We start from the raw sequence: 14,758 nt of genomic DNA, 5'->3' as shown, positions 1-14,758 counted from the left end.
AGATATTTCATCTTTCATTTTGCACACCAAGTATTAGCTAAGTGTGATAAACCCTGGAAAATCCGGAAAACAGCCCATCCCTGGTGAAATTCCAGTTCTCAACGATGGGTCTGATTGAATGAATCGGACAGGACCAGGTGGCTCTCGAGCAAGAGACTCGCTTGATAGGCTGAGTGACCCTGGCTCTGCGCACCCAATGCCGCTCTCGTTTTATTCCCGAGGAAGCACCAGCAGGCAACAGCATGGCCCTTTCCTTTCGGTGGCACGGGCCTGTCCTGCTCTGGCTTGTCTCCCCCGCAACAGTGCTCACCTGCTCACTGAGAATCAGAGACGTGGTAAATGACCCTTGCGACAATTTATAGCAATGGGAAAATGTATTATTATTTTTCAGCTCTGTGGGCAATGGAACCCAGTCTCCTATCCTAAATTAGCCCCAAGAATGCATCAGATACAGCAAAAGCCTAGGTATGTCCTAGAGACGCTCTTATTCTCTGAAGAAGTGTTTTCTCACTGCCACTTAACACCGGTGCTACGACGTGCACCGCGGAGAGGCCATGGCGCACACAAACTGAGCAGGAAAGACTCAGTGAGACCAGGCACTCCAGGGCCACACTGCAGTGGTAGCAGGTGAGGCAGCAAGAAAGAGGGTTGGTTAAACTTTTAGTTTCTCAACACAAATAGAAATACAAACTTGCGAAATCTGCTTTAGGACTTCACGGCCTTTGGGGAGAGGGGAGATAAGCAGCTGCCAGCATTCTTACAGGTCCCCAGGGTATCATTTGCTGCCCTGCTGCCATTTGCTCAAGTGTTACAGGCCAGAGCTGGAATAGTGTGTAAGTGTCTGTAGAAGGTTCTAACTCTGGTCCCTTTCCCTTAAGAGCCAATGACCTGACAATTTTTGTTGAGTGTCTCCATATCATGTGTTAACAAGAATTTGATTCTACAAAATAATGTGTAATACAGAAAACACAGTATCTGTACTTAGAGTGGACAATACAAAGTGAGAGGTCAGGCAATTTGCTTGTCTTGTTCTACTAGAAATGTATTATGTGACCTCCTGAACATGCTTACATTCGTTGATCTTGACACGTAAAAGTTTGTTTTCCTGGAATGCTTAAATTAAACTAAGAAAAATGGGTTAAATGAGAAAGAAGTCTACTTTTTTAAATGCAGAAACATGACAAGGAATAAGAAAGGGAAGAAGGGGAAGAAAGAAGGGACTGCCCTAAAAAATTCATTTCTCTGATCTTCCCCAATTTTTTTTGAAACAAATCCTAAACCCTATGCAGAACTCTATGCAAGGCTACAAGAACTTGTCCAAGGGATGTACACGATTCCCATCCATTAATAATATAAAAATAGCCTCCTTGAAGGAAAGAGGGCAATAGAGCTATTTAGCAAATGCTGTGTATGGGCCAAAGCTGTCAAACACACTGAGTCACAGTGGTGCATGTGAATAGGAAGGGACATTGTAACTCAGAAATAAAACCAAACACATTTGCCAGGAAGCCACTCCTTCAACATGAGAAATACAATGATAAGCTCTCTTTAGGTTTTCGAAATAATTCTGAAATAATTGAAATGTTTGTTAGGAAAGCCCTACTTTTTTCAAAAATAATGAGTTGATGTTGCCTAATTAATGCACTATGCCTACTGTTTTCAGATATAAACAAAACAGAATTTAGAGGTCTGTGTCCTAAGAACCAAGCATGAAGTGTGATATGGATGCTAAGGCAGACATGTTAAGATGGCAAACCTGAATTTCCAACAAGCTGCCTGAAGAGAAATGGAGTAGGGGAAAGCCACAATACCACCTTTTATTTGTAAAACACTTTCGTTTGTTATTCCATTTAGTAAACACCATAGCCTGTGAGGTAGGTGGGCTGAATTCCTGACCTCTTTTTTTTTTTTTTTTTGAGCCGGAGTCTCGCTCTGTTGCCCAGGCTGGAGTGCAGTGGCGCGATCTCGGCTCGCTGCAAGCTCCACCTCCCGGGTTCACGCCATTCTCCTGCCTCAGTCTCCCGAGTAGCTGGGACTACAGGCGCCCGTCACCACGCCCGGTTAATTTTTTTGTATTTTTTTAGTAGAGACGGGGTTTCACCGTGTTAGCCAGGATGGTCTCGATCTCCTGACCTCGTGATCCACCCGCCTTGTCCTCCCAAAGTGCTGGGATTACAGGCGTCAGCCACCGCGCCCGGCCCTGACCTCTTTCTAAGAAAAGGAGCAAATGGGGCTTAGAGTCTGGCTGAGTCATCCCGGGTCCTGCTGCTCTTAGGTGATTTAATGAGAACTGGAACGTAAATGTTCCAGTCTACTCTTTCCTTCTCATCTCCTCCTACCAACAATTACAGCTGCCCTAGGGACTACAGAGGGCTCCTAGCGAGGGAGAGGGGAAGAGGAAAGAAAGAAAAAGGAAAGTCTATTACCCTAGTGGCTTCTTAGAAAACCTGCATTTAGAAACTTGTGGTCAGAATATTTATTAATTCAATCACGAGGAGCTCTAACAGTCAAACTATACAAAATATCCCATATCAGCAAGAACAAATCCATTTTTTAAAAACACATAAGCCCTTTTAGGAGAAAAATGGGAAGAAGGCTGAAGGCTGCAGTTGCGCTCACATGGCTGGCCAGCCCTCATAGGCCCACTCTCTTGGTTTCCTCCTGTTTCTTTACCTGTGGAGACCGGGCTCTCTGGACCCTGGCTCCTGGACATTCTGGACTGGGTGACTCTGGTATGGGGGCTGCCTGTGCATTGCAGAATGTTCAGCAGCACTTGGTCTCCACCCGCTAAAGGCCAGTAGCCTCCTCTCCCAAAACTGCCCTTGCCCAAGGTGGGACAACCCAAAATGTCTCCAAATATTGCCAAATATTCACGGGGGACAGAATCTCCTCCAGGTGAGAACGACCTGTCTAATCACAGATTCCACATACAACCTACTATATTTCAATTTCTATTCTGTACTCCATCTTTATAAAATATGCTTGCAAAACTCTGAATTCTCTGTTGCTACTGCTAATGTCTCTCCTGATTTTCACATGCGAATTGACAGAAATACAGGGTTGGAGATATTTGGCATTTCAGACAACTTTTGAGGAAAGATTCCATCATGTGTGCTGGGTTGAACGCATTCTGTTTCCTTTTGCTCTATTCCTATGGTTCTATGTTTATTTCTCATAGTACTTCACTACTCTTCAGTACCTTAACAACTGGCATTTTTCATTTTCACTTAACCTAAAAATGTGCTCTTTGCCCAGAGAGGACTGTTAACTGTTGTCTAATAATGGTTTGTGATGATAAAAATTACAGAGAAAGGTCTTCTCCCCCTAATAGATATCGTTTATCATATAACTTTCTGGCTCAAAATAAAACCTTAAGGTTTTCAGTCCAATGCCAAATTAGAAACATTTCATAAAAAGATATCATTCTATTTATAATATTATTTGTCCCATTTACTAATTTTTCCAACCCATGATGTCCCTCCCTGTGTTGAACTCCTATTGTTACAGTCGGCACTTCAAAGATATCTATCTTCCCCACCCATTTTCCCCAGTCTGTGCTAGAAACCCTGCCAGGCCCTGGAGAAACAAACACTGCGGAGGCTGGGCTCCGGCCCTGAAAGCTCAGCTTCTGGTGGGACATCATGTGATAGGCACTGATGAGTCTGAACAGAAATGACCAATTTCTGGTAGGGGCCCTCAAAAAGAGAATTCTGGAAATGAGTAATAAATCAAATGGGGAGGAGGGTGCAGGGAGACAGGGTCTGTGAGGATATTTCACTGCACCCTACTAAAGGCTATCTACGCACCTTAATGTGACGTTGATGCCATCATTCTGATTATTATAATCATTCTCCAAGCATTCGATGCACATATGTATGATCTTTCAGGTGAAGCACAATTACTTCATCCTAGTTTATATTCCACAATGCTCTTAGTATAAGGTTGAGCACATAGGCAGGTAAATATTAATTACAACTTAATAGTGAATACAATAAAATTTGCATTAATAAAATATATAAAAATGATGCAGAAAAAAAGAGTAATGATGAAAGATTAAAAATAGATGCATCTTTTATCTTAAAACTTAAACCAGATAGCTATTTTTTTGCATAGTTATTGCTTTAGCCATCTGAAGAGATGCCATATCAAGGAAAACATTTTCTATTGTCAACTTTGACAGATTTATTTCAGAGGATCACACTGGTCTAAATTTTACTAGGCTGATGATGTTTGAGGAGCACCAAGAAAAAGAGATCACGCCCTGACGGATATGACCATTTCAGCCTTTGTAACAGAATCAACTGTGACAGCTGAATAACATTAACTCTTTGCAATTATAATATTAGTATATTTACAAATTACAAAACACTTTCACAACCGTTGTTTTACGTCTCAAAAGAATCCTCTGTGCTAGGACTGTAGCATGTTATTTAAAAATTAATCTGTCTTGAATAGATAATACATTCAACTGGTTCAAAACTCAAAAGGTACAAATGAGCATCCAGTAAAAACATCGCTCTCCAACTCACGTCCCCCTGACACTGGGTTTCCCTGTCCAGAACAAACCTGCCATATCGGTTTCCTGTGGACCCGCCCACAGATATTTTATGGAAATAAGAGCAGATACATTTATGCGTACTCTTTCCTTGTAATACAAATCCACAGCACCAGCACCCAGAGTTCTTTACATTGCCTTTTCTGCTTATTTAAATATATCAGGTATCAATCCATAAAGAACTTTCTTATGATTTTCTAAGATTACATGATATTCTATTTATGTTCTCTCAGGGAAATCACAAGCTATCATGTTAGCCACTGGCTGTTCAGATTCATGCCCTCAGACCTAGGTTACTTTTTTTCATGTAACACATTGTGTCAAAACATCATTGAAAATTAAAGTTGCAAAATAAAGTGACAATGTTGAAATGCAGTCATCTTGGCTACATTGATCAGGCCAATTTCTTCAATAATGGAAGAATAATCAAGACGTATTTCCTAAAGTGACTCATATTCATATAAATTTATTCTTTTTGTGGGCATCAAAGTATAAGAATCATTCTCTTTTACACTATCAGCAATCTTTATGAGATTTGAGTTCACTGTTATTCTTCAATACAATGATTCAAAAATAAGAAATTAAAAGTCTGGCACATTCGTGAGCAATATTCCTATATTCCTGGAGTAGACTCTAAATTATTTTCTTTCTCAGAAATATGTTCTGCCATGTGGCTATGGTAGCAATGAAAAGATGTCCAAAGGGTTAAGCCAGGGGAAAGCAGACACGAATCACAGTTTGTATAAATAAACCTACAACTTTCAAACAAAATACTTAAGTTTTACCTTTGTTTTTTTTTTTTTTTTTTTTTTTTTTTATTATACTCTAAGTTTTAGGGTACATGTGCACATTGTGCAGGTTAGTTACATATGTATACATGTGCCATGCTGGTGCGCTGCACCCACTAATGTGTCATCTAGCATTAGGTATATCTCCCAATGCTATCCCTCCCCCCTCCCCCGACCCCACCACAGTCCCCAGAGTGTGATATTCCCCTTCCTGTGTCCATGTGATCTCATTGTTCAATTCCCACCTATGAGTGAGAATATGCGGTGTTTGGTTTTTTGTTCTTGCGATAGTTTACTGAGAATGATGGTTTCCAATTTCATCCATGTCCCTACAAAGGATATGAACTCATCATTTTTTATGGCTGCATAATATTCCATGGTGTATATGTGCCACATTTTCTTAATCCAGTCTATCATTGTTGGACATTTGGGTTGGTTCCAAGTCTTTGCTATTGTGAATAGTGCCGCAATAAACATACGTGTGCATGTGTCTTTATAGCAGCATGATTTATACTCATTTGGGTATATACCCAGTAATGGGATGGCTGGGTCAAATGGTATTTCTAGTTCTAGATCCCTGAGGAATCGCCACACTGACTTCCACAATGGTTGAACTAGTTTACAGTCCCACCAACAGTGTAAAAGTGTTCCTATTTCTCCGCATCCTCTCCAGCACCTGTTGTTTCCTGACTTTTTAATGATTGCCATTCTAACTGGTGTGAGATGATATCTCATAGTGGTTTTGATTTGCATTTCTCTGATGGCCAGTGATGATGAGCATTTCTTCATGTGTTTTTTGGCTGCATAAATGTCTTCTTTTGAGAAGTGTCTGTTCATGTCCTTCGTTAATTGAAAAAAATATGTACATCAACATAGAAGTGATGATCTAAGTATGATCTATGTGAAAGAAAGAAAGCATTATATGGAAAAGTGGATTAGAGGAGAACACAGACAGGTATTTTGACCCATCAAAGGCCTGTAGTGATAGGACAGGGGACCTTCCCACACTGAAGGAGGCAAGAGCTGACAGACAGCCTGGGAAGGATGGGGCTAGGCAAAGAAGACATTCATTTAATTCAAAAAGTAATTTTTCTTGGTGTTTTTGCTTTGCCCTTCACTGAGCTAAGCTGAGTAAACTAAAGAAAAAGGAATTAAAACTCTCTCTGCCTCAGGGAATTAAATCTTATTGACAAGAAACATCATCCCATGAAAAAAAGGATTCTTAACTGTGCAGCTGAAGGCCTGTGTTCAAATCCCAGCCCTCCTTGGATGACTGGTGAGCCCGTGGGTGCAGCGGTCCCACTGGCAGCTGGCACCAGGCTCCTCATCTTGGAGATGAGGAACATCACTTGCACATTCCGCAGGTGCTGCAAAGGCTGCACAAGATCATGGCTGTGAGAGTGATCTCCACACAGGGTACAAGTGTAAGGCATCAGGATTGCAGAAAACAAGTGAAGAACAACAGAGCCATGTGATCAATTTAAGATTGAGTAGAAAAAATGTCTTCAAGAAATGGCTAGTATTGTGGATCAGAATGAGCATTTTTCGTTTTTAGACAGCTGGGTAAGCAGAGGTAGAAGTAAAAAAAAGTGACTACGCAGGAAGAAGAAGAGCAGGTTGAATCCACTTTTCACCATGAAACAAATGCTTAGAACCCCAGCCTTTATAGGAGAAGAAAATGGCCACAGTTGGCTGGTCATTTTCTAATGAGTCTGAAGGAAACAGCTCTGTCCCCAACATTCCAAAGTGCAGAGGGGTGATTTTAAAGTTCACCTGGAATGGTCAGAACCACTCCACGGACACATGGGCCCATGGACACAAAAAGGGCACAAGGACAAAAATCTCAAACATGCACATTTAGTCTTTTTATTTATTTTTTTTACTTAAGTTTTTGTTATGTCTATTTTTTCAAGAGGCTGTATTTTACGTCTGCGATGGGCCTGAACAAGCAGTTCCCTTTTCCTTTTGCTGGGCCCAGTAACTTTGTCAGGAGAGCCATCAGGCAGGTGCTAACTGCAGAGCTGCGAGAGGCCCCTAATTGTGAAGCCCTTACAAGGACTGAACCTGATCATTCACGGAACTGTTGAGTTGATGGGATTCGTGTAGCTGGTTATAAATTGATAATCTAAATTAATTCATTCAAGCAGAAATCGATTTTGTAACTCCTTGAGAGCTTGTAATAATGCTTACCTCCCACTGCTAGCTGCATTCTCTGTTTCATAAAGCTGGTCGGGAACAGCTGGATTCAGGTGACCTGCTAGCTCATTAAATCTGTTACACATGCCTTCTGGTAAATGATATTAAGCTGAAATGTCCTAACGTTGATTTTTTTCTTTAATTTTATGACAGAAATAACCTAATTTGTAACACAAAATAACAATCTCCTTGGATTACTTTGCCTTGCTAAAATATTTTATGCATTTTTCATTTACACAAAGGTAATGGAAAAACACTTAAACTATCTGTTATTTAAACCACAAGAGATATGTTACTGAAAGTCTGATAGCTACAAAAATGATTGTCTCTTCATAGTCTTTACTTTACATCTGTAATAAAAGGCAGACAATTCAATTCATTGGTTAGTAAATAAAGTACGATAGTTTTTATTTTATTTTCTCTGCCTTGCAAGAACTAAAATCAGATTGCTTTTTAAATTCATTTAGAAATAGGACTCATTACTTTCCTTTCCTCTTTCTAATCTAAAATGTCTAATGTCCATTCGGAACCTCACATTTTCTTCATCAGCAGAAGTTGTAACCTAATTCTACATCCCATATTCGAAGAATCACTTTCTGAGCTGCTCTCTGCCTGTGCACAAAGGTTGAATAACGAAATCAGAGCCCTGCCTTTTGTGCATCTGCGACTATTAAACACTTATTGCCGTTCACCTCCTGACTTCATTTCCTTTTTCTAAATACATTTTAAAATAAAAACACATCCAGAATGCCCAAGTAACACAGTTAAAATATGTCCTAAGACTGTAAGTAACCAATCATTTTTACTGCCATAATAAGTGATAAGCGTTTCTCAAATCAAGGAAGGTGACTAACTGAAACCCCAAACTGTCCACCTTAAATGCTCTTATTCACACAGGAGGCCAGAGTCATCATTTTACAGCCTCAAAAGCCACCGCTGTGAAAAACTAAGAAAATGCTTGTTGGCGCCTGCCTCATCTAGTAGGATTTACCTTACGGAAGCTGCCTTCTCTGTTTCATAAAGTCCTGCCTCCGTTTTCAGCGGGCTGATTAACATAAAATCCTACTATTCAATTTGTAAACATTTCAATACTGAACACTATTTGTTTAGTATTAAAACCAAACTTGAGTAGTTTTCTAGATATGATACCTAATGCTGAGTTTATCATGTATTTTGAAAGAATTTACTTTAAAAGCTTCCAAAGACCATGTATTCACATCACAGTGGTTAAAACTGAATTTTAATATATTAAGAATACATGGCCTTATAATCCCAAGCTTCTAACAATTCTAAAAATTCTCAAAGTAAAAATAACAAAACCACTCACTCTGAATGCATATAGATTTCCCTGATCTAACACAAAGTTGTCTAAGGAAAAAAGCAGAGCCAAGCACAAGTCCCTCGGTATCTCTTAAACAAGAAATGGTAGCCTCAGAGCACAGCCGAATGAACTGCCCAGAAAAAGACAGAGGAAGGGCCCAGCATTGTCACCCTCCCTTCTGCCTCTCCCACCAAAGCCTCTTCCAAATGATTTCATTAAAAAAGATTAAGACTTCATTGATAATAATCTAGAAAACAGAAAGAAAAAAGAAATATAACAAATGCACAGTGAGACAGAGCTGACCCAGAGCTACAAACAGCACGGTCAGCAAAATAATTTAGGAAGCGAATAAAATACTATTTTCTGTGAGGATCAGTGTTAAGGTTTCTTTGATAGCCTAATGCTTTTTTTAGAACCTGCCCACTTCACAACTGGTCCACCCACACTGCAACCCAGTGTAGGATCGAATCACCCTCAGCTCGGTTACTGCAGTAGTCTCTGAACCTGTCTCTTGGCTGCCCCTTTTGTGACCCTCTGGCCACTCTCCACACAGCATCCAGAATGCTGTTTACCATGGATGTGGTCTCCTTTAGCCCTAAGGTGCCACGGCTCCTGGCACACTCAAATCGCCCAAGCCAGGCCCTGCCGTTCACACTTGCCCCTGCAGTCACGCAGATCTAGCTCCACTGTCCTTTACATTCCATGAATTTGCAAATATAAGTCAGCCTTCGATAAATATTCAATTAGCAACATATTCAGGATGTGAGTCATTTCAGGGTGTCAAACTGTTTTTTCACACAGGAAGTCAGAGAAAGAAAATACATACATTGAGTAAAGATTTCTAGCCTGCTTAAAATGAATACAGCTGCAGAACCACGGCTTGTCACTTCTCTAACATTTGGACACCATTTCGTCTCCTTGAAATTTCGTTGCTTTTATGTCTAGATAGTTGATAAATCAATAATAAACTTCTTCCACCCTCATCAATTGTAGAAAAAAATCTCAACTCTGTCTTCAAAGTCACTCCCAGAATTCTGTCCACACTGTGCTGTGGCCGCTCACTGCCCACGAGTGCCCTCCCCGGCCCTTTCCATCATCTATTCTTCCTGTCGCTGGGTCCTGAGTGCCGCTGCCGTCTTTTGCATATGGTTTCCTGGTCATAGGACACGTGTCCAAAGTGAACTGCACTGTAATACTCCCTACCGTTTGAGAATCTAAACATGAGCCCTGCTCTCTGCACAGATGGACACACACCAGCAGGGACAGTCCACATTCAGGGTCGAACTGCCTCCCCTTCTGCCACTGGCCTCCTTCCTGACTGTTTGCTTTAAACAAGGATGCAGACTTTCCAGACACAATTTCTCTGGAAATGTTCATTTTCATCACTTCTGTGGCTCTTCCCAGTTATTTCCTCACAGGAAATTTGCATGCTTTTCAGCAAACAGCCCTTTGACACAACCTGGATCTTGATCTTATTTTTTGTAACTTTTTAAGCGGAAATAATGTCAAATTTACAAGTTGCAAGGATGGCACAAAGAACTACTCTCTTATACTTTTATCTCATTGTAAATGTTTTACAGCATTTATCTACTCTTTCTATATATACACATTTTTTTTTTATGAGCCATTTGGGAGTAAGCTGAAGAACTGATGCTCTTTTACTCATGAATACTTGTGAGCTTCCTATGAACAAGGACCTTCTCTTACACAGCCACAGAACAATGCACAAAACTGTGGGATTTAAAAATGATACACTAATATTCTCCAATCTACAGACCTTATTCTAATTTCATTAGATGTTCCAACAATGTGGTTTATAGCAAAACAGATAAAAGAAGAAGAAATTCTGGCGCAGGGTCCAAACCGGACCACAGCATTATGTGGCGTGTCTGTGAATCTCCTTTATTCTGGAATAGTGCACCAGTCTTTGTCTCTCACACTTCAGTCACTTATTAAAATACACGCCAGTCATTTAGAAGAATGTTCCTAAATGAGAGCTTACCTGATTCAAATTGTTTTTCTGCATCTTAAATTACAAAGTATTTTTCCATATCCTATACCCAAAGGAGTGTTCACCATTTGAACCATTTAAAGCCCAGCCCTAAATACAGTTTTCTGACGAGCTTTCCTTAGATTAGGGAACACTGTTAACTATTACTTAATCGCTGCGTATTTTTTTGTTTCTTAACAGTTTAGCTTCAAACATTTTTTAAAACCAACCTTACTGAAGTGTAATTTATAGTCAGTTAATTGGATACACTTCTAAGTGTATAGCTCAATGAGTTTTGACACATCTACTCACCCTTGTAACCACCACCACAAATAAGATATAGAATAATTTCATTACCCTCAGAATTTTCCTGAGGTCCCCTGTCCCAGCCCCAGGAAAACACAGCTCTGGCTTACAACCCTATGGATGAGAACTGCCTGTTGCGGCTCGGGAAATGAGTGGAACTGCAGAGTGCACTCTTCTGTGTCTGCGCTTTTGCTTAGCACACTTTTGAGACTCATCCATAATGTAGTGCATCCATAGTGCCTTCATTTTTATTGCTAATACTCCATGTTACGGATGAATTGTCCATTCATCTGCTGTTGATGGGCACTAGAGTTATTTTTAGCTTTTGACTATAAATAGCTATTATAAACATATAGAACTATCATAAATATTCATATATAAATCTTTGCATGAATATATGCTTTTTGCTTTTATCCCTTTTGGGTAAATTCCTAGGAGTGGAATCGTTGGGTCATATGGTAAGTAAGTATATGTTTAGTTTTACAGGAAATGGCTAAACTGTTTTCCAAATTGGCTGTACCATTTTTACAGTACTACCAGCAATGCCCAACAATTCCAGATGCTCCTCCATGTCCTCACTAATGTTTGGCATTCTTAAGTCTTTTTAATTTCAGTCATCTTAGTGGGTGTGCAGTGGCATGTTATTATAGTTTTAATTTTCACGTTCCTAAAAACTGGCGATGATTAGCATCATTTCATGTGCTTTTTGGCTGCTTAAATATCTTCTTTTGCTTATTTTTTGTTTGAATCTTTGTCTTCTTAAAATTGAAGTGAGAATGTTCACTCTTTTGTGCCCATCCCAAAAATCACTGTGAGACTTCTATGCAAAGGGCCTTGTCACAGTTTTCTGCAAACAACAACACTTGCCTTATTGCAAATAAACAAACTCCAACTGTCCCAGGGGAGACCCCTCACTGTAGTTTTCTCTTCGACAGAAGTCTGAAGGTCCACCTTCCGTGACGCTCACAGCCCTTCTTGATGTCATCCAGCTCTTATCCACGAATCCTCAGCTCACCATGGAAATGCGGATTTCCCCACCTTCAATCTGCCCCATCACACCAGTGATGTTTCAGTTCACTTTGCACTGGTTCTTCTTTCCACCCAGAACACTCTTGTGCCAGGCGGACCCACAACGAGTTCTCTAATTACCTTCAACTCCTTGCTCCTATGTCTCCATCCCAACAAGGCCTACCCAGACCTTCCAATCGACTATGGTAACTGCCTGTCTCCTCCCCACCCAGGGCCATCTCCAGAACTCCCAACCCCCACTATTTTTCTCCACTGTCTTTTCTTTATAGTACTTTATCTTTTAAAAAGGAATGTAATTATTTACTATGCCTTTTGTTCAGTGTCTGTCTCTTTCTGCTAGAATAAATACTCCAGAAGGCCAAGACTCCTCGTTTTGCTCATGAATGTATCGTGGGCACTCAGAACAGCAGCTGGCTTCAGCCTGGATACATCTTCATCCCTCCCCTATGCTACTGCTCTAAGATGCATGACCTCAGTTCTCACTGGCTGTGGCAGTTCCATTGTGAGGAGTGGGGAAGTCCTAAAACCCTGATATCCTTTCAGCTTTCCTGGTGCCATGCGAAGCTGGAGAGTTCAAATTTATACAAGGTTCATGCTAAAAAGTAAGCTTTGGACCTACAAGGTTCATGTAGAAAAGTAAGTTTTGGACCTATTATTTTCTCTCAAAACTGTTTGAGAAGGCTAACTAGAAGCAAGGAATACTCCTGAAGGGACTTGGCTGAACATTAGTTTTCAAATGCTGAGTCTGGGATACATCTGAGAGTTTAAGTGGGTGAACTAGATTAAGTGATGTAGTGATGGCCACAAGTGAAGAATCAGTGGGCTCAGAAATGTTAGAGAAATCTGAACATAGAACTCAACCTATTTCATAATATATATGGAAAGCCCATTAAGGTAAGAATAAATTTTAGGAAATGTTAAGAATAACCATGTTTAAATTTAGTGACCAATACCGAATAGGTATTGATTTTAAAGAAGAATATATATGTATATGCTATAATGCTAGCAGCCCATTTTAAATAGAAAAATTGCCACACAAGACTTGCCTTCTCTTCATTGTAAAAGAGATGACTCATCTTAGAAAGAAAATGGCCTAATTGCTATTAGATTTACAATTCTCAAAATTTTATTGGTGCCACAACATTTAAAATATATAGTTCTAGAAATCAAAGATATACAGAAGGTAAAAGCTACTGAAAACCACAGCAGTTTCATCTTGCAAGGCACTGCTGTTAAACATAACCCAAATCGAAGTGTGTGCACACAAACAGCTATGTGAAGCTTCTACAGGAGTCCCTTCTACTACCCTCAGATTTTGGTTTCCAGGTTTTATCTGCGTGCTATCAGCTTTTTAGTTTCATAAGTTATAACTTTCTCATGACTTGCTTGAATTGTTATAAGCAGGTAATTAAATAAACTAGAAAAAAACCTAACTGAAAATTCAATGTGCAAGTAAGCTGAACTAGCACATCAGACAATGGTTTCATATGCTAATGCCCCTGGGTGTATGCCAGTTTTTTCCTCTGAACTTCTCCGATTTCATCCATCTTTGTTGAATGGCAGCTCAGCACCCCCTTCACCTACACTCAGCCACAAACATATCTGGGCCATCTGTGTCTTGAAGACAAGGGAGGACATATCAGCACTTCCCCTTCCCCACGAGTTCAGCTGACATTCTTTAGTAAAATACACAAAAGAACAGATTGCAGTTCATCCATAGGGCAATTTCACATTTCGCAAAGCTGTATGGTGCACAAATCCCACCCATATACATCAGAGGTCGTCTGAAGACTGGATGCCAAAGTCAAGAGTTGAGTGTGAGGTTTTGTTTTGCTTCTGTAAGAAGAGTTAATGTGGCATTTATGAAAGCTCACAGTTTCCCAAAAATCACTTCTGCAAAAATAAGTTCAAAAGGAACTCAGCTACACTTAGCATTTTACATTGTGTATGAATCATCTGTGAAGTTATAAAAACTTTGGTTGAAATTTTCAGGAAACCCTGTCAATTCTTTGACTTTTGAAAGAGATTTCTGTTGTCATATACAGTTTCAAATTGTTTAATAGCATGCAGAAATAGAACAGAATCAGAAGAGTGTCAAAGTGAATCAAATCCAGAAATTTAAGGGAAAAAAAGATAAAATTCAGACAAAATTTACTTTAATGACCACAATTTTGCTGTAGCATTTTAGATTCCTTTGGCTATTGTCCAACTTAACCAAAGCCAGTCACAGTAAACTTGGTTGAGCTAGGGTAAGTTACTAAGTACTCCATTTGTTGATGGGTATCAGATTCGCAGAAGGAACTAATTGACATCTGCACAGAGCGTTTAATTTTTCTATGCTTAATATTCTATTACCCCGAGTACCTGAAGTTTCACTGATGTTTACTGCCTTTCCCCCACTTCTGCAATTATCCTTAAAAATACATCAATAATGTGTCATAGAAATCTCCAATAATTTTTCTAAAGATAATACTTTTGAATTTGGTAAAGAATGATGTTTAAAAATTTTAGGCAGCACAGGACATGTACAAGCTGCTGAATATTAGATGTTTGATTTTCAGAGAATATCATTT

At 39.8% G+C, this 14,758-nt stretch overlaps 1 protein-coding gene across 2 annotated transcripts in view, besides 2 other annotated features; it reads right to left on the bottom strand.

The window, feature by feature from the left end:
• The window catches only part of ZNF407 (zinc finger protein 407), a 467,802-nt gene that overhangs the window by 60,951 nt on the left and 392,093 nt on the right, over positions 1-14,758 (bottom strand). The gene's annotated exons all lie outside the window — the stretch shown is intronic.
• Positions 8,973-9,472: an enhancer, noted in NCBI's record as "H3K4me1 hESC enhancer chr18:72707205-72707704 (GRCh37/hg19 assembly coordinates)". NCBI's record gives its function as "activates a minimal SCP1, AML or CMV promoter by ChIP-STARR-seq in naive H9 embryonic stem cells {active_cell/tissue: H9 hESC(naive)}" and the evidence as "EXISTENCE:reporter gene assay evidence [ECO:0000049][PMID:30033119]".
• Positions 9,473-9,974: an enhancer, noted in NCBI's record as "H3K4me1 hESC enhancer chr18:72706703-72707204 (GRCh37/hg19 assembly coordinates)". NCBI's record gives its function as "activates a minimal SCP1, AML or CMV promoter by ChIP-STARR-seq in naive H9 embryonic stem cells {active_cell/tissue: H9 hESC(naive)}" and the evidence as "EXISTENCE:reporter gene assay evidence [ECO:0000049][PMID:30033119]".

The sequence above is a fragment of the Homo sapiens genome, chromosome 18, assembly GCF_000001405.40.
Source record: "Homo sapiens chromosome 18, GRCh38.p14 Primary Assembly".
In the NCBI taxonomy this organism is placed as follows: domain Eukaryota; kingdom Metazoa; phylum Chordata; class Mammalia; order Primates; family Hominidae; genus Homo; species Homo sapiens.
The sequence above is the reverse complement of the archived record's forward strand: the minus strand, read 5'-3'. Positions and strand labels throughout refer to the sequence as shown.